Source organism: Homo sapiens, chromosome 3, assembly GCF_000001405.40.
Source record: "Homo sapiens chromosome 3, GRCh38.p14 Primary Assembly".
Taxonomy (NCBI): Eukaryota; Metazoa; Chordata; class Mammalia; order Primates; family Hominidae; genus Homo; species Homo sapiens.
Window position 1 is genome coordinate 65,426,993 of NC_000003.12, and position 19,788 is coordinate 65,446,780.

The 19,788-nt window shown below is 38.3% G+C and overlaps 1 protein-coding gene across 6 annotated transcripts in view; it reads right to left on the reverse strand.

The window, feature by feature from the left end:
• MAGI1 (membrane associated guanylate kinase, WW and PDZ domain containing 1) overlaps positions 1–19,788 on the reverse strand; it is a 685,393-nt gene that overhangs the window by 73,467 nt on the left and 592,138 nt on the right. For all 6 annotated transcript variants that reach the window (NM_001033057.2, NM_015520.2, NM_001365904.2 and 3 more), the window contains exons 8-12: positions 15,800–15,857; positions 12,887–13,020; positions 10,163–10,255; positions 3,707–3,889; positions 2,528–3,148 (exon numbers count right to left, since the gene is read on the reverse strand). In NM_001033057.2, the coding sequence (NP_001028229.1) occupies positions 2,528–3,148; positions 3,707–3,889; positions 10,163–10,255; positions 12,887–13,020; positions 15,800–15,857 (1,089 nt within the window). The remainder of the gene's footprint in view (positions 1–2,527; positions 3,149–3,706; positions 3,890–10,162; positions 10,256–12,886; positions 13,021–15,799; positions 15,858–19,788) is intronic.

Below are 19,788 nucleotides of genomic sequence, written 5' to 3' on the forward strand. Positions count from 1 at the left end.
AGAAGAGAGAATGCAAACATATTTAAAATCAAGGAGTATAGTCAGGTGTGGTGGCTCATGCCTGTAATCCTAGCACTTCGGGAGGCCGAGGCAGGTGGATCCCTTGAGCGCGGGAGTTCGAGACCAGCATGGGTAACATGGAGAAATCATTTCTACTGAAAATACAAAAATCAGCCGGGAGTGGTGGCATGCACCTATAGTCTCAGCTACTTGGGGGGCTAAGGCAGGAAGATCGCTTGAAACTAGGAGGTTGAGGCTGCAGTGAGCTGAGATGGCACCACTGCACTCCAGCCTGGGTGACAAAGTGAGACCCTGTCTCAAAAATAAAAATAAAAAATAAAATCAAGGAGTACGTTTCTATAATCAGTTGTTTGCTGGCTTAGGCGAATTCATTACAATATGGTTCTAATACATGTGTAAGTTAGTTGGCTATAATGAAACTTTATGTTTGGTCTCCTTAGAAGTGAATCTAATGGGATAATAAACCACATCAATAACAGAAATGAGAAAGAGGATAGATGAGTTAGGAGAACAAGGTGGTTTGTGTCTGTCAAATGAGCAGTGGCTGAATCAGAGGTGCACCTGATGTACCAAGAATTATTTGAAAGTTTCCAGGCTGTCAGCCTCAGTATTAAGCAACTATACAAAAATCAGTGTTATTCAGTTAAGTAGGGCAGAACATTGGACTGGAAACCACAGAGCCAGGGTGAACAGCTCAGAACTACTGTGGGGTGGCACCTTCCTACCTCACAGGGAAGTGACAAATATCAGTGGAGAGGCACGTGCAGGTATGAAAGTGCTTTGTGTATCACTGATTCTTCTATAAGTGCCAGGTTTCATCATCACCATCATCATTATTGTCATAATCGTTCTTATACCCAAGTCATTTCCTACTACATACATCTTGGCTACTGTTTAAAACCAGTTCTCTGAGCAGTCAAGTGATCTAGGTACAAGAAGAGACTTGAAAATTAGTTGGTGGAAATGACATTTTAAAAAAAATAAAATTTGCACAATGCCTTTTATAACTGCCTAAGCCAGGCTCATTGAGCATTTCAATTCACATAGACAGCTACTCTGTATTTTGGGTTTCCTTCAAATGACCCCAGCCATTCTGATCGCAGAACACACAGGTTCATGAAAACATGAGAATCTGGCTGCTGTGACACAAATGAGCTCTCCTGTTGCAACAAACCAAAAGGAAGTCAAAGTCTGGTTCTTGATCTCTTTTCAAAAGGCCTGAATATGTTGTTCATGAAACAAATCATGGTAGCAAGGATCAGGGAAACAGCCATTCTCAGGCCCACTGTGTAAAACTATCAGTCACGACTAATCACATATAAGTATATATTCCAGGAGCAAGACACTTCAATATGGTGGAAAGTATTGCTCAGTGTGACGTCCTGTGTTTTCTGGTGAGGCAGAGGGTGGGATACGGACTCAAGGAGAAAGGAGGAAGCTTAATGCCTCGAGATTTAGAATAACCCAGATCTCTGAGATCCTAAACTACTAAACGCGAGCATGTGGAGGGAAGTGTTTAATATGATTAGCAGACCTCTTGTTTCTGCCAAATAGAAATAATCACATACCTATTCACTTAATACCTATTCATTCATAAATACCTAAAAGGAGTCAGGTGTTGTGTTAAATGCTGGGGATAACAGCTGTCCACATGCACACATGGGCCCTGGCTTTATGGAGCTTTATATTCTAATGAAAGACAAATAATGAAAAATAAATAAAAGCATGAAATAACGTCTTGTGCTAAAAAGGTGATGATGATCAAGGTTATGAAAAACTGTGATAAAGATTATATGGAAGTGTTGGGAGCTACTTTAGATAAAGTGATGGGAGAAGCCCTCTCTCATAAGGAGACCTGAATGGGACTGAGCCAGCTGGGAAGAGCTGGGAAAGGACCATTCCAGGCAGAACGGACAGTAAATACAAAGGGCCTGAGGCAAGAAAAGGCTTGAAGCATTAAAGGAGCTCCATAAAAGCAGCCAGTGTGGCTAAAGCACCATCAGATGGAGGAGAGGAACATGAGACAAGTTTGGAGTGACCATAGCCACATTTTGCAGGCTATGCAGGCCAAGTTCAGGAGATTTAAAGGATAAAGGTTATTATTTTTTATATATATATAAAAAAACTTTTTAGAGAATGGGGTCTCAATATGTTGCCCAGTCTGGACTCAAATGCCTGGGCTCAAGTGATCTTCCTGCCTCAGCCTCTCAAGCAGCCAGGACTACAGGTGGGTACCACCACACCCAACTTAGGTTTTTAAATCTTAACATTTTAAAAAGGCAAAATCTGATTTCTGTTTTAAGGTATCATTCTAACTGCATATGTCTGTCATAATGTATAAACCACAATTTTTATGCTAAAGAGGTTAGTATTTGGAGAAATCAGTAGGCATTTTGAAACATTTAAATAAATTTAAAAAGCCCCCAGTGGTCATCTGAAGATGAGTAAGTTAAGCAATGAATTTGGGATAAAAAAAAAATTCAAAGAACAAAACAACCCTACTTACCTCCTCGTTGCACCAACAATGTGACCTCACTTCCCTTAGGACACTCAACCAGCATATCCACCACTTGGTTGTGAGTTAGGGCCTGCACGTTCTTCTTATTAACTTCCACTATGAGATCCCCTTCTTTCAGGCCTCGGCACCTTGGGCTGTCAACAATCTGTTTCACTCTTTGGCCACCCCCACCAGGACTGTCTGCGATAGTAAAACCAAAGCCCATTGGCCCTTTGACAATATGAACAGTTATGAGTTCTGGCTGAGTGGCTATGGAGGAAGCCAAAGAAACAGTGTCATTAGGATAACCATGAGAACTATTTGAAGCCACGTCCGCTGGGCTGCTTGGCCTGGCATCCTTCATGCCATTGACTTTGCCTGTTTTACTACTGTGGCTAGCTGGTGAATCATAGGTCTCTTGCCCATTCACAATAATTGGTTCTTTATCCAAAATGGCTACCGAGGTCACTAAACTTGTATTGGGGTCATCTGGATCAAAAGGCAATGGATAACCTCGGCAGAGTTCAAGGTCCACGCTGGCACCAATGGGGATGGACTGGAAGATCTTCACAACTTGAGCATGTGTGTGTCCCAAAACACAGGTGTCATTCACACTTACAATCACATCCCCTGTAGAAGGCAAGAGTGTGGGGGTTAAGAAAACAGCACCCAGAAAATTGTCATCAGTATTATAATATCTCCCACTAACATAAAGCTGAACTGAAACTGCATGTGGGTGTGATACTATAGGGTATAAAGTGCTTCTATTACTGATTTTAACAGCTAATAAAGTGTTCTTTCAGCACCTAGTGTCTTCCCTGCTAATGAGAATGTAATAATCACTCACAGAACATTGGAGCTTTCTCCTAAAAAAAAATCTCACTGCAGAAATCCAAGTTTAGAATTCATTTATTTAAATGGGGATCTACAGTTTTAGTAACTCATTGCTTTACTGTACTCAAACAGTTTCCCAAACTTAAAATGACTTCACAGGTTTTAATCTGTCCCAAGGGATGAATTTATGTAATGTGGAGACCTGGCTCATTCTCAAGGTGTTTAAAGCTGTAAACATGTGCAATCATGACGTTGCTTGGTCTTGCTCAAACAAACAACATCATGATTGCACATGTTTATCTCCTGGATTGGAGTCTCACCACACAGAACACACTAAGGCCATGTTGACGCTACCTGTTTCCATCTTGCCATCCAATGCAGCAGGACCATCTAGGACCAAGCTCTTGATCTGGAGAAACTCATCAGGTTCATCCCCTCCAACCACCGTGAAGCCAAAGCCACGACTGCTTTTCCGCAGCTTTGTGTGAATGAACTTGCCTTTCAACTCAGAAGGGTTTCGTGTAAAAAAGGGTTTGCCTGGATTAAAATAAGAAACGCATAAGGAATGTCACCACTGGTGAAAAGGAGAATTAAACAAGATTTGAGACAACATATAGATAATTCTTCACGCTTATGCCCTAGAGCCTTTGGGCATATAGCATCTTAAGAAAGTCCTCTCTTAATTTGAGGAATAAGGATGTTCCTAGGCCCCAGTGTTGATGGAGGGAGGTAAAGCATTGAGTATGTCAACTCCAGGGTCCAAAAGAAACTACAAGAGAGGGATGAAACTAGTCCCTGTCAGGTGACACACTTCTTGGTTTCCATTCATGCACTTTGACAGGAATTGAGCTGCCACAAACCCCTTCACAGAAAATGGAACTGGTCTGTTTTATGTCTTTTGTTTTGTTTTAATTTTATTTTGCTATATGGCTTCTGATGTGCTGCTTTGGGCCTGGCTTCCACTTGAAAAACCAACAGAACTAATCAAACGGAAAATCCAGGCTGAAAATGCACAGATAATACCAGAAAACATATTATAGTCACAAATAATAATTTGACAAAAATGTAGAATGACTATTTTCAAAATTAAGGGTCATTACTTTGAATTGAATTCTAAATTCAACTGATTTTTTCCTATTTATCTGATCTTTTATTAAATTTGTGATATAGCCAACGCATGCCTAGGGCTAAGAATTACTGTTTAAAACAAGTTTAGGATATTTGTTTAAAAAACACAAACCAAAAAAACAAACAAAGAAACCCCCCCCACAACACACACACACAAAATCCCTAAACTAAGTAGTTACTAACAGTAGCCACACAGCTCCAAATTCAGCTGTCTTATTTAAAATAAATTAGGCTGGGGGTGTGGTGGCTCATGCCTGTAATCCTAGCACTTTGGGAGGCTGAGTCAGGTGGAGCACTGAGGTCAGGAGTTCAAAACCAACCTGGCCAACATAGTGAAATCCTGTCTCTACTAAAAAAAAAAAATACAAAAATTAGCCAGATGAGGTGGTGGATGCCTGTAATCCCAGCTACTTGGGAGGCTGAGGCAGGACAATCACTTGAATCCAGGAGGTAGAGGTTGCAGTGAGCTGAGATTGCGCCATTGCACTCCAGCCTGGGCAACAAGAGCAAAACTCTGTCTCAAAAAAATAATAAAAATAAAATAAATTTACAGATAGAGGTATCGCTAAATTATTTCCAAACATGCTACCTAAGGTTTTATTGAGTTTTCTTGATACATTCACAAATAACATTTTGAACATAAACCAAAACGTTTTCTTTTGGGTTTTACTAGGCACTTCTCTGTAATTGAGAAACTTACTGGAACTTCTCTGATTATCCCAAGTAGTAGACCTAATTTCATGAGCAGCTTCTTTCATCTCTTCTAACTTTACTTACTTCTTATACCCTGTCCTTGCCACACACAGCTTCTCCATCTGCCCTGTTTCTTTTCTATCAAAAATGTTATCCAAAACAAAAAGAGAGAGAGAAAGAGGGAGACATTAGTCCCCTACACCCCTGTACTAGGAGCCTGGCACCTAGGAAAGAAAGTTATTTTTGGTTAGTTATATCTAAAAGAGTTTAAAAGGTCTCTGGGCATGCATACAATTTTTAATTGCATATTTTAAAAGTTTCTGGCTCTTGCAAAGAAGGCTCTTTTAAATTGCCTGCAATCAGAGGTCCTTTCGCTAACCTGCTCTCTAGCGCAGTCCCAAAGCTTATTGGAAGGTTGACAAACTACAGCCCTGTCATAGTGGCTAAAGAAAGGCAAGACTTACAAGGATTCGCCACGCAAAGTCATCTGCCAAGGCGTTGGGAGGGTGGTGTCACTTGCACCAAGAGCTTTGGGGAGACAGCTGCCAAGACAATTATCAGATGGAAATTGAGGTGAGGTAAGATAACCCCCAAAGTTTACTTTAGGGGGAGGAGGGTGACTGGCCTACACTCTTGTAGCAGGTGCTGCTAGGGCATTCCAGGGCCCTGAAGGGAAACACATTTCAGTTATGCAGAGACATCAACAGCCATTACCTTCGCAGCAAGACCTTCCCTAACCACCTTACTAAAAATTGCAGTACCTCCAACATTCCCAATCCCTTTTTCCTGCTTTATTTTTGTCCTTAGCATTTACCACCTTCCAAAAGAATATACATCTTACTTATTGCTTTGGTTTTCTTACTATCCCCAACTCCCATGCATGAGTGGCATTGATATGCAGGTACATAAAACCACTAGAATGTTAGCTCCATGAGGATTTTTATACGTATATCAAGTATCTAGAATATTGTCTGGTACATTTTATGTGCTCCAAAAATTTCTGTTGAGTGAGAGAATGAATGAACAAATAAAAGCACACAGAAATGATATTTATCATGTCTTTGAGAAGGCTGAAAAGAGGTGTTTGGTTGTTGGAGCTTTTCACTCTTATTATAGGCTAAGTTAGAAAACGTGAAAATGTGCCTGGCAGTTTATCTACTTAAAAAAAAATACATTAGCATATTTTGTGCTGAGAATGTTAACTTAATAAAGACATGAGCAGAGCTTTGAAATTATACGACTGACTTCCTTTTCCAATGTTTAACAAGGGAAGGAAAATCAGAGGGTTTCACATTTATGCACATTTTATTATTTTTTACGTATGGGTGGATCATTAGTTAATGTAGCTTTTGGAAAGAAACGCTTTTCACCCCATAAGCAGTGGAATTTGGAGCTCTCAGCTGCAGCCCTGTGGTACATGTAATTTTCTAAGATCCTAACCTCTGTTTACCAGTCACCAGCGGTAAGACTTGGTTGTGTCTTACCCAGGGAAAATCCCCTGGGTAGCTTTTTAAAATGTACTCATTTTCACTTCCTTCCTTAGACTCACTGATCAGGATGTTCTGGGTCTTGGCCCAAAACTCTGCACCTGAATGAACCTTAGGTGCATGTTTCCCTGCCAGGATGGGGGGAGGGGAAAGAAATGTCACTTCTTGACACTAGTGTTTAAATACCCTAGACCAGTACCGTCTAATGGCACTTTCCGTGATGATGGAAATGCTCTGCACCTGCACTGTTCAATATGGCAGCCACTAGTCACATGTAGCCACTGAGCCCTTGAAATATGGCTAGTGAGACAGAAAAACTTAATTTTTTGATTTTTTAACTGTAATTCATTTAAATTTAAATGGCAACATGTAACCATTGGCTTCCATACCGAACAGCATAGATTTAGACTACACAAATGAGGTATCCCACAAAAACTAAAACAACCAAAAACCTTTCAAACAGAAGTTAAACTATTCCTCATGTATAGTGTTCAAATCTGTGCTCTGCTACTTAGTGGCTATATGGCCTTGGGCAAGTTACTAAACCTCTCTGCCTGAGTATCACAAGTATAAATGGAGGTAATGATGATACCTATTTCACATGATAGTTGTGAGAAACAACCATGGCAGATAATGTAGGTAAAGTGCCTGGGAAGGTACCTGGCACATAATAAGAGCTCAATAAGTGAGTTATTGTTTTGATGGCGGTGGTGATAGAGTGAGTGTGGTGGAGGGGTAGCTGCAAAAATCTCTCTCCAAGCATAAGCTTGAAGCTGGAGAGTTTTCATAAGAGCAAATCTCCAAATTATCACTTGCTAAGATTAGAAGTACACTCTTGATCAGGGGAGAATTTAGTTGGCCTGTGAACTTGGCAAAATTACTACCAAACAATCTAACCAAATTAGCTATATGGCTTCTTCCTGACAGTCTATCAACACTAGATACTGCCCAAGATACAAGACACTAGACACTAGATGGCTAATCAAGACACTTAACCGGTAGGCAGGTAACCCAGAGTTATAACCAATGAGGCTAAAGTCTAGGTTAATGTTTATTGAAATCACAGCTTGGAGCCAAATGGTATGGATTTTAACTGGTTTCTTTGGTATCAGTTATATTCCAAAGATTATAAAAGTGCTTGAAACGTGTGGATCAACAGAGAGACTACACAGTAGAAGGGTGGTAAGAATAAACGAGTCAATCTCAAGGAGAGTTCAGTGAGCCTGAACCTTCAGACACTATTGAATGGTATTTGGAAGTGGGGCCTTTGGGAGGTGATTATACCATGAGAGTGGAGCCCACATGATGGGCTAATTCTTACAAGAGGAAGAGAACTAGTACTTTCTCTCTCTACTCTGCACCACATGAGGATACAGTGAGAAAATGGCCGTCTATAAACCACGAAGTGGACCCTCATTGGACACTCGATCTGCCAGCACTTTGATCTTTGACTTCCCAGTCTCCAGAACTGATAGATAAATGTTTGGTGTTTAAGCCACCTAGTCTATGGCAACTTGTTATAGCAGCCTGAATGAAGAACCAGTGGATGTCTTAGTCAATCATTAGATGACTAAAGAAAGAAGGAAGAGATATAAGGAAATAAGGAAGAAGAGAAAAAAAGAAAAAGAAAAAAAGGCTGAGTTAAAGAAAAGTAAGAATCTGAGATGAAGTGTCTAATACAGACAAATACCGTCTCAAGTCTTAGTTGGTGCACTAAGCATTTGGCACTCAGAACCTGAACCTTTACAGCTTTAATTTATTTAATTTCTAAGATAATTATGTAAGAAAGTCTGGTTGGCTATTCTATATGTATATGTGGATGGATGGATGGATGGATGGATGGATGGATGGAAGATGGATGGATACTGTTTCACTCAATAATAATGTCATCAGAAAATGTATATCAAGGGATTATGCCTAGTTTGGGATTATCTCACAGTGAAAAAACAAAAAACAGAGAATCATAGTCTCTTGCCTCCATGGGATTTAAAGTCTAATGAGGAAACTATTGTTAAATAATAGCACACAAATGAACACTAGTTATAATGGTTAAATTTCATAAATGTGAAGTACAGGATGGTTAAGAGTAAACATGGTAGGGGAATCTAGCAAAGACCTGAGGTGAACAGGAGTTAGCAGAGTAAGAAGTAGGAGGAAAAGACAACTGCAAACAGAAGGAACAGCCACTGCAAACAGAAGGAACAGCCTCTGCAAAGGCTCAGAAGCGGTTCACAGTTTTGCTGGTTAAAAGAACTGAAAGGAGGCTAACTTACTGTGAGAGAGGGGAAGGTAAGAAGGCATGAGCCTACAGAAGGAATTTTATGTTTACAAAAAACCCCACAAAACTGAGGACTCCACAGTCATGTTGATACTAATCAACATTATTATCTACTATATCCCATCTTTATTAAAGCCATTATCACCATTAAAAAGTGCATTCATGCCAGAAGAAATTATTTTACATAAATTGATACTAATTCTAATCTAGTGACAATGTCAGCTAGCAGAGAAACAATTTCTTTCTTATGAAAATTATAATGAATTAAAATTAAAGAAATGAATTATTATTCTACTTATCTTTTTATATGTAACACAATTAAATCTTTTAAAATATAGAAAGGAAGACAAATTTTATAGTATTTTTATTGTTTCTGTACCACAAACATCCCCCAACTCTGTCAAACATGATGCTTGTTTAAAAGAAAAAGAAAACTAAACACAAATATTTTCTATAATTTAAGAGTAATGAGGCCTGAAAGTTGCAAGGTTCTGGAGCTTCCAATTTTCAAGAATAATCCTCTATAAAGGCCTCATCCTATGTGTGAATGTAAACAAACAAGACCTATTGAAACGTTGTAAACATGCATAAATACCAAAACTGCAGCAAGAATAGGGAATGAGAACTGAAAACACAATATCAAACCATTTTCATTTATAGGAAAGTCTTAGACAAAACCTAATATGTTGGCTAGACTCTTGAAATATCTAATGCTGAGTTTCAGATTTATCTTTTTTAACATACTATTAAATATCTGTGGTCTCTAAGTCAGTGATTCCTATCTCTGGGATGGGTTTGCTCCCCAGAGACATCTGGCAATGTCTGGGGACAATTTCCTTGTCACAATGAGAGGTGGGCTGTGTGCTACTGGCATCTAGTGGCCAGGGGACATCTCACAATGCCCAGGACAAACCCACACAACAAAGAATTACTTACCCCAAAATGGCAATGGTGCTGAGATTGAGAAACGTTGGTTTGAATGATCATTTAACAAGTAGTCTTTATTTTTAAAATATTACAAATAGTTGGAAAAAAATTATTCAGGAAGATTCCTAATTTTTCTTGACAAGTCTAACAATACATTTATCATTGTTTTCATTATTTATGGTTTTCACTATCAAAGGAATGACTTGGGAGTTACGAGATTCCACTTTTCAAAATACCTTAAAAAAAATTAGATTTTGAGCTAAAACCATGACACAATTAGAAAGACAAGTACTTTACCCTGAAGTGGAACTTCTCTGGCTGGCTCTGGATTGCTTGGAGGGTGGTTTGGAATAACAGGAGGCACAAGGGCTGAGTGATCTTCTGTCCATTCTATGAAAAAGAAAAGAAAGTTTCCTATTTTTCCTTCAAATGGCTCATTGAGTTACTTATGATTCACCTTATTATTAATAATACTCAAGGCAATAAACCAAGGGCAGATAGCTTAGATTAAAAAGAAGTTGTTATCTGACCTCATTCTATGAAGCTCTTTTTTTTTTTTTTTCTTGTCTAAGACGTTTTGGGAAAGAAATATTACGATATAATGAATAAGAACTCCAGTTCTCTCTGGCTGGAAAGTCCAAAGTGAAGTCAGTTAAAAAATGTCAGGAAAGACATACAGTCAACTAATGGCAGCTGTATAAGGGAGAAATTTCTCTAATCTGATTCAGACATGAGCTGGGCTGCTGAGGCCAGCTTGTCTTAGGTAGGGAGGAAGATGAAGGTAGATTTCAGCAGTTTGCTAAGGGTGTGCTCTTCTGTTATCTCTGAATCCAAATGAGACCTATTACAAATACTCCTGGGTCCTAATTGTAGTCTTATTCACCTTGGAAGGCCAGACATAACTCACAGTGAGTGACCCTTGAGATGGCACCCCAGAATCACTTCCAGCTCAGCTAACATATTCAATTGTACATTCTCATTTGCAAACTGCACTTTCTAACACTACCAAGTTTCATCAGCTCAGGAAAGATACATTAAAAAATTTTTAGACAAAAAATAACAGATGTTGATAAGGATGTAGAGAAAAGGGAATGCTTATACACTGTCGATGAGAATGTAAATTACTGCAACCTCTATAGAACCACCATACAATCCAGCAGTCCCACTACTGGGTATCTGAAGAAAAAGAAATTATTCTATCAGAATGATACCTACACTTGTATGTTTACTGCAGCACTACTCACAACAGCAAAGATACAGAATCAACCTAAGTGTCCATCAGTGGATAACTGGATAAAGAAAATGTGGTATGTATGCCATGGAATACTGTTCAGCCATAAAAAAGAGAATAAAATTATGTCTTTTGCGGCAACATGAATGGAACTAGAGACCATTACCTTAAGTGAAACAACTCAGAAACAGAAAGTGAAACACCACATGTTCTCACTTCTGAGTGGGAGCTAAATAATGTGTACTTACGGACATGAAGTGTGGAATAACAGACCATGGCAACTCGGAAGGGTTGGAGGGGGATGAAGGATGATAAATTACTTAATGGGTACAATGTATACTATTTGGGTAATGGTTACACTAAAAGTCCACACTTCACCACCACTTAATATACCCATGTGTCAAAAGCTGCACTTGTACCCACTAAATGTATATGAGAAGAGTTCTTTTTAGCTAGAAAAGAGACTAAGGTAGATAACATTTCAATGGGTGAATGTACACAGACATACATACCTACTCTCTCTAAATTGTACAGTCCAGGGCAGTGGTTGGCAAACTATGGCCCACTAGCCAAACTGGGGCCAATTCCTGTTTGGATACAGCCTGTGAGCCAAGAATAACTTTTATTCTCAAATGGTTGAAAAGTAATAAAAAGGAGAATACTTTGTGACATATGAAAATTACATGAAGTTGAAATTACAGTGCCCATAAAGTTTTATTTGAACACAGCTACACCTATTCATTTACATAATGTCTACAGCTATTTGCATACTACAATGGCTGAGGTGAGTAGTTCTAACAGAGATTGACTGTTTAAATCACGAAGCCTAAAATCTTTATTATCTGGCTGTTTAGAGAAAAAGTTTGCCAACCTGTAGTCTATGGTTTACATTTGTTATATTCAATATTATAGTAACAGAAGCATTATACTTGATATTCTATTTGATATTCACATATTATATTGATGGGAGTATTAAGCCTATGATTCTAAAAGATCACAATGAAAAACTGGGGAAAGCCAGAGTATCTAGTAATAAACAAATGGCTAAATAAAGCAGAGGCATTCATGAAATGGAATATTACGTCACCATTAAAAAGTATAAGCTAAATCTATATTAGCCAACTTAGTAATATGTGCAAGAAATAAAAAGTGAGAAAACAGGTCTCACATACATACTATATACGTATAAATTATTATCAGATTTTTGTTAAAATATGCGTATATCTATATCCCTAGAAAATTTCTGCACAGGGCTTATCTCTGAGAATGGGAAGGGGGCAACCAGGGGAGAATTTAATGTTCTATACTCCCGAATTGCCCATATTTTTACAAAGAGCATGAATTAGTCTGTAATTTTTAAAAGCACCCAAAACTACCAGCTCTTTCTGATTCTTTACATGTAATGTTCCTAAAATTAAAAGTTAGTTTCATGCCCAGTAACTCCACTTAAAGTAAAAATGCTAAAAGTGGTTTGGATTTAGCTACCAGTTGCAATGCAAATACTGCGGGGGCAAGAAATTTCCTCCCCCATCAGAAAGTTCTCTGATCTAATGATGCTCCTTTCTAAATTAAAATGGAGATTTGAGTGACTTTGAATTAGGATCTCCACTTTGGCCATCCAGAGGAACATGGAGAGGGGGTTCTCTTCCTCCCCACAGGACATCAGCTCTTCAGTGTGGCAAGAGAGGACTCAATCATCGAGGCCAGTTCTGACCACACGAGGGTGTCAGCGCTCAGATTTCACCCCATGCTCCCCTGATCAAGAAAAAGCCTAGAGGAAAGAGGCCAACCTTCTGTCTGCTGCTGCTGCTGCTGCTGCTGCTGCTGTTGCTGCTGCTGTTGCTGCTGCTGCTGCTGCTCAAGCTGCTTCTTCCGTTTGGCTTCTAGAACCGGGTTCTCATATTGTGTCTTCCTGTTGATGTGGCTGGGGAAGATAGCAAATAGTATTCAGCTTGAAACAGTTCATCCCACCAGCAAAATGCCAATCAGACCAAGTCCCTGGAATCAAACTGAGCAGAGCAGGTGGTCTGAGATGCTAACCCTCGTGTGTTAAAATGCTCAGTTAGAAAGAGGAAATAAAAATGAAGTTTCCATTACTGACTGCTTATATGCACTAAGCACTGGGCTACCAGTTTTATATGCATTTTATTTAAAAGTCCTCAGTAAATGCCAGGAGGTAAGTCCTATTTTTATTCATATCTTATGAATAAGGAAAGTAAGTGTCTGGGCAGTTAAATACTTCATCTAGCATAATATAGCTAGTAAGCAGGAAACAGGCATGCAAGCTCAGGGTTGCCTGCTTTCAAATCCCAGGATTTTAACCACTGACCCCACTCCAAATGTCCAAGATACCACCTGACAGGGGAAGCTGCTTTAATTCAATAAGAAGTAGATTAAGGAATTATTGAGACATAAGATTAAAGTGGCTATGTGACATTGTCTGTAACATACAATGCCAGAACTGCTGTGTAACTGTCTGCAGTAGGGTTCACAGAAGCATAAGCATTCATCCAAACAATGAAGTTAAACAAAGAACTCCACTCACATCTGTTAACTATTTTGATCACTAAACATAGAGGCACAATTAAAAGTACAGGCCTTAGGCAGAGAGAATCCAAATAAAGTTAACCTAAGTAGATGTGATGTGCTCAAAATGACAAAGATCCAAACACTTAGATGGCTACAAAACTAATTATATATATACACATATATATGTATACATATGTATATGTGTACATGTATACATATACATATATACATATGTATACATATATATGTATACACATATATGTACATATATATGGTACATATGTGTGTATATATATATACACACACACACATATACACACACACAAGCATATACGTATAAATATACATTATTTATTGTTTTTTGAGACAGTCTCTCTCTGTCACCCAGGCTGGAGTGCAGTGGTGCGATCTTGGCTCACTGCAACTTCTGCCTCCTAGGTTCAACCAATTCTCCTGCCTCAGCCTCCTGAGTAGCTGGGATTTCAAGCGTGCATCACCATACCCGGCTAATTTTTGTATTTTCAGTAGAAATGGCGTTTCACCATGTAGGCCAGGCTGGTCTCGAACTCCTGACCTCAAGTGATCCACCTGCTTTGGTCTCCCCAAATGCTGTGATTACAGGCATGAGCCACCATGCCTGAACTTATTTTTCTTAATTCAAAATAATAGTTTATTAGAAATTTAGGAGCATAGTATTGTGATTATTTAGAACTCTAAGTTTTTTAAAAAGCTAGGCTTTATTTTTTTAAGCAGGTTTATCAATAGAAAGGATAGACTGATTGCTCTTAATTTCTATTAAAGGCCTACATGTTTATTTCCTAATTCTTGTAGCAATTTCATTCTAAGAAATGGTCTACCATTAACAGGCACATGAATCTGAAAAGACAGATGGAGAAGTGTGTGGTAAGATAATAACTTGCCCCTCAAACTAGTGTCTTCACCCATAAAAGCTTTTGTCATCTGTTCCTGCTCTCTCTTAATGCATAAACTAGTTGAGGGACAATTCAAAATGAGCTTCAAATAGCAAAAACCCCACAGTACATCTGTGAGAAAGATGATCTTTGGGGCACACAAAAGAAATTTATTTTCTGAGGGTCAGAGGGGCAGCCAAGTTTGCCTCTCTGATGCCCCATATTACCAATCCCTCTTGTTAGGCAAAGTGGAGGTAAAAGTTAGTACTGGCCAAGGACACTTGCTATATTGAACTCATAATTTCTACAGTAAGATGCTGGGCATCTATTTTATGGCCTGGCACTTTTTTCATCTTGTGTTCATATCACCAGGGTATTATACAAATGACTTTTCATCACCAGCAGCATAAAGGAAAGAAAATATGACAGTTACATCTTCAGTGTGGCAGGTACGATTATGTTTCTACAACATTTATATGGCATTTGCTTCTTTTGAAGGGACTTTTATTAGTTACCTCTCATTTTTCTCTGAGGAAACTACATAATACAAAGCTTTTTTTTTTTTTCAATGTCCTAACCTTTGGGTTTCTTTTAATATCATCCTATCCATCAACAGTTTTGATGAAAGGAAAAAGTGGGAGCCCAATGCTAGAATAAGGCACACAGTAAAGTCACGAGGGTTTTAGACTTTTAAAAATGGGAAACCAGAACCTCAGGCAAGAGAGAAACAAAGAAACACACAAAGTCTGCATCCTAGGCTAGTTCTCCATTTTCTCCTCAATCCTGGCAACATTTCATAAATTACCGTGGCTGAACCTTTTGAAATGTATGAATGAATAAAGAAGTAATTGCTAAGGAGTTCAGATCTGGGTAGAGCAAAAAGTAGACGAATCAGATACTCCTTGTAAAGATAAACAATCCCTCTTCATCTGGTCTACTGAATCCTGGCTTTTCTCATTCATTCATTCATTCAACTAATACTCATTAAGTACCTGCCATATACCAGGACGATGTTGGGCCTTTGTGATGCAGTGGTGAACAAAAGACATGGATCCTGCCCATGTGAATTTAATAATATGATTTGCTATTTTCAGATTTATTGAATATTTTCTCATTCATTAATATATGCATACATATTTTCATCATAAAATTAATATTGTTAATTGGTTTGTGCCTTATAATGATGTCAGGCTGTACTTAACACAAATGTACATAATTATAGAGAGGTATAAACTAATGTGTGGATTGTGAATGGGCACTTACTCTACATAGTAGATACCATAGACAGGGTCTTCAATCTTTTCCCAACCAGCAGGCAGTTCTGAAAAATAAAAGAACATTTAGGGCAAGAAGAGCATATTCTTGAAGAGCCTGGGTGTTTTCAACAACTGAGTTAGGCAAAAAGAGAAAGACTCATAAAAATGCTTTAAATCCAATTAAAACTGTATATCCTAACCAAAAAAAAAAAAGTATCTATTATTTTATAAGTGTATTTTTCTACATGAACAGCATTTCTTTATCTACTGGTATTTTATGCAAGAAAATAAAACTTAACAAAATGCAGCCTTTATTCTAAATCACTATTAAATTAGATTTTAGTGAAAATATAGGTTAAACTTGCCTTGAATGCCTAGTTCCTATCTTAAATGTTTACGGTTTTCTCATTTTGTTCCTAGGCCATCTTATTACACAAGCAAAAATGGATGAAAATTAATGTTTCATTTTCAGTACAATAGTGTTGTTTTGCTCTCCTTGAAATAAAATAAAATCTGCATGTTATCTTCTCCTTGTTCCTAATGAAAATGCAGTTGGGTTTTTGAACTGCACACAACTATCACTCAATTGCTATCTCTGGGCTGGCCCATCTTTCTCAGCACTTAACCTGTGAAAGCAGTAACACAGCTCCTGATCCCTAAGAGCTCACTATCTAAGGCGGATGATTTTATTTCTTTAAATGTGGTGGTACAATGGCACTGGGGGATGTATGTGCCTTTCTGAAAACTCAACCATGCTCTACAGAACTTCCTAAGGTTTCATATCAAAGGCCAAAACTTTATTAAACAGGTAATAGTTCTGTCTGAACAAGAATCTGTTGTGGAAAGGCCCACTGCACCATATTATTTTACTTGGTGAAAGAAGGGACTAGGTTGTGGGTTTTTTTTGTCATTAAACAATCCTTTCAGGCAGAACAACAGTTATTCAACTTAATTTTAAAGCTTCCCTGATACACGTAGTCAAGGCAAACTTATGTAACACCACACTCTAAAGTGAATAATTAGTCCTAGAAGTAGCTATTAAGACCAACTTTGATAGAATACTACAAACTTGAAATATTTGAAATAGATTTTTGTTTAATTCAAGGAATCATGTGGTCACTAATTTAAATAATGATGTCATCAGGGCAGAAGGCTTACATATACCACAAACAGTTCCAGACTGAGGTAGAGGCATGCACATGCACACAAACACATACAGGCTAATTACTCAAAGTTTATGTTTTGTTCAGATTTGGCTGCACATCAAGAGACATTAATTTCATAGTTTTTGCTCCACATGTTACTTGTTTGCAAACAAAGAGACAGGTTTTCCCCCCTTTTCTTCTAAATCAAAAAGAAAAAACATTTAGCAAGTTTTAAAGAAGTCTTTGACTTGTAGGAGACATAAGCTACTAAAATGCAAGACAGGTCCAATTTGCAGATGTTGATACAACTTGGCATTTGTATATACTGAGTCTTGCGGACCGATGCAAATTGAATGCCTAGGAAATGCTTTCCCCTTACAAAGCTGGAAATTACCATTTAAATGAAAATGAACCAGGAAAATATTACCAAAGAGTTGGGAAATCGAAGATTAAAAAAATGCAAATTGGTGCACAGTCATACATTTGTATAGGGCAGAAGGGTGGGTGGATGTGAGGAGACCGCATTAAGTTTCATAGAAACGCCATCTCTTTTCAAAATCTGCAAACTGAGATATGTGGCCTGATTATCTTTAGATAAAACAGGGGAAATACTAAGCTTTTAAGTTACTCAGTTATTAATTTGACAAACATTTGTTGAATGCCTACTTTTTGCCCGAGGGTGTGTTAGGCACCAGGGACACAAAGACAAACGCAAGTGCATCATCTAAGCAGAAAATTCAGCCACGTGGTATGTGCTTTGATGGAGGGCCGAGGAGGGTACTAGAAAAGAAGGTACCCGTGACTTCTTTTCTAGTGCCTAGTCAACAACTTAATATTCTAGAGTTGAAAAATGGGTCCAGTCAACTGGCATATCTGGACATTTGTCAGTTTAAACACATCTTTTGGAACAGATGAGCAAACTCCAGAAATTGAAAAGATAGTTTCTCACTTCCAATGTGGTCATTAACTTAATCATAGAAATTAGTCTCCTAATGCTTAAAATAGAAATGGGTCATCGATTTTAAATAGGAAGATGGTTGTCCTAGAATTTGCCATTTGGTTCTAAAAGACTGAAAAAGGCAGAAAATATTTAAGTCCAGAATGACATTATAATTTTTTAAGCAAACACTCTAAAGACTCTTAAAAAGGAATCCTCGTATGACTAACCACAGTCAGGGAGCAGATTAGACAGTACAACCTATCACAGAGATTTGAAGTGGCTAAGATCCTTTTGGCATTGCCCAGATATAAGATTGAGCCTTAATTCTTTCATTTATCTCTACTACTCTGTGGCCTTGGGCTACTTACTTAACATCTCTGAACCACATCTTTCTCCTGGATTTACCTCAAAAGTCAATGGTGGATTAAACAAAGATACTTCTGAACACTTAGCACAGTTCCTGGCACATAGAAAGTGTCCAACAAATGGCAGCTGTTCCAGGAAAGCACAAAAGGAATAGGACAGATGTCTGTGGCCTGTGTACTTGCTACTCCTGCCTCTGAAAATCTCATGCTGCACTATTTTGTCTCCAAAGAGCAAACATTGAGCAGTCAAAGGTTCTAAGTTCTTTTCAAAGAGATTTCTCTGTATATAGATTGAAAATCATGTTCAAAATCAGAGATACATTTCAAAACTGTGACTTAGTTTTGGGTGGGAGGAGAACTTACTTTCTTGGCTCTATCTCCCCTAGTTGGTTTCACCACATGGATACCCTATAATTCCAAAAGAAGGTTCTGCAGGTGCTTTTTAATTCTGGGGAGATGTCTGCAGAGGACGTGATAAATTCTGCAAACCAAAGTACATAATGGAGCAACTGACCCAGCTCAAACAACAGAGTTCAGAAATGACAACTCTATAATCAAATGATCTGTGTCCAATACCCAAGCCAACTGCCCACGCCTCTCAGAGGCCGATTACAAAGAGGGTTTCCTTGTCACATCTGGAATTACATTGTTCACTGAAAACCTGACAGTTGCTATTGTTTGAAATTAGGACCCTCTTATTAAGAAAATGAGCAGTGAGCTTGTCAACAGAATCTGGAGTGAATGCAACAGAAAACAGTGTGTGTGCACGTGTGCTACTCTTTACACAGTGGACATGTGCAGGCAAAAATCAAAGGTTTTATCTCTACCCTTCCTACAAGAACACATTTGGGCCATTTCTATAATATAGAACACATTCCTCCCTTGTGCTGTGTTAATGGAAAAAAGTACCATAAGAAAGTACTGAAAAATCCAAGAAGAGGGAATTAGGTAATAAATAACAACACTGCAAATAGCTAATAGAATGTGCTGATCACAGGGACAAATATTAAAACACGCTTTCATTAAGTCACCTCATAAGCACCATGGGAGCTACTCTTTTGGCCCCTCTTTATGGATAAGGAAAGGGAAGCTAAAAGAAGGTGAATAGCTTGTCTAAGTTTGCATAGCCAGTAAGCAGGGGAGCCACACAGTTTGATCTGAACCCAGAGAAAGCCAAGAGAACTCATGTTTAGAGTCTTTAACAGCACAAGCAAGTCACCACGATATCACAGTTACATGTGGGTAAAATGCAGAAACTTCTTTCCTGAAAATTTCAAATTCAAATTTCCAGAGAAGCAAATAAGGTTGTGCTCCTGTACACAGCTGTGCTATCTCCACTGGCTGCCAGCAGACAGCAGAGTGATCTGTCACACCTATTACTTAGGTAGCAAGAGTGGTTGAAATTGGCTGAACAAATGATTAAGACACTCATTTTGTGTCTGGAAAACCTATTTCTGTCTCTTTCATTTACTTTATCTAATATCATTGGATTGACAAATTCTTTTTTTGATCAAATTAGTTTCAAATTGTTCTATCATTCAGGGTG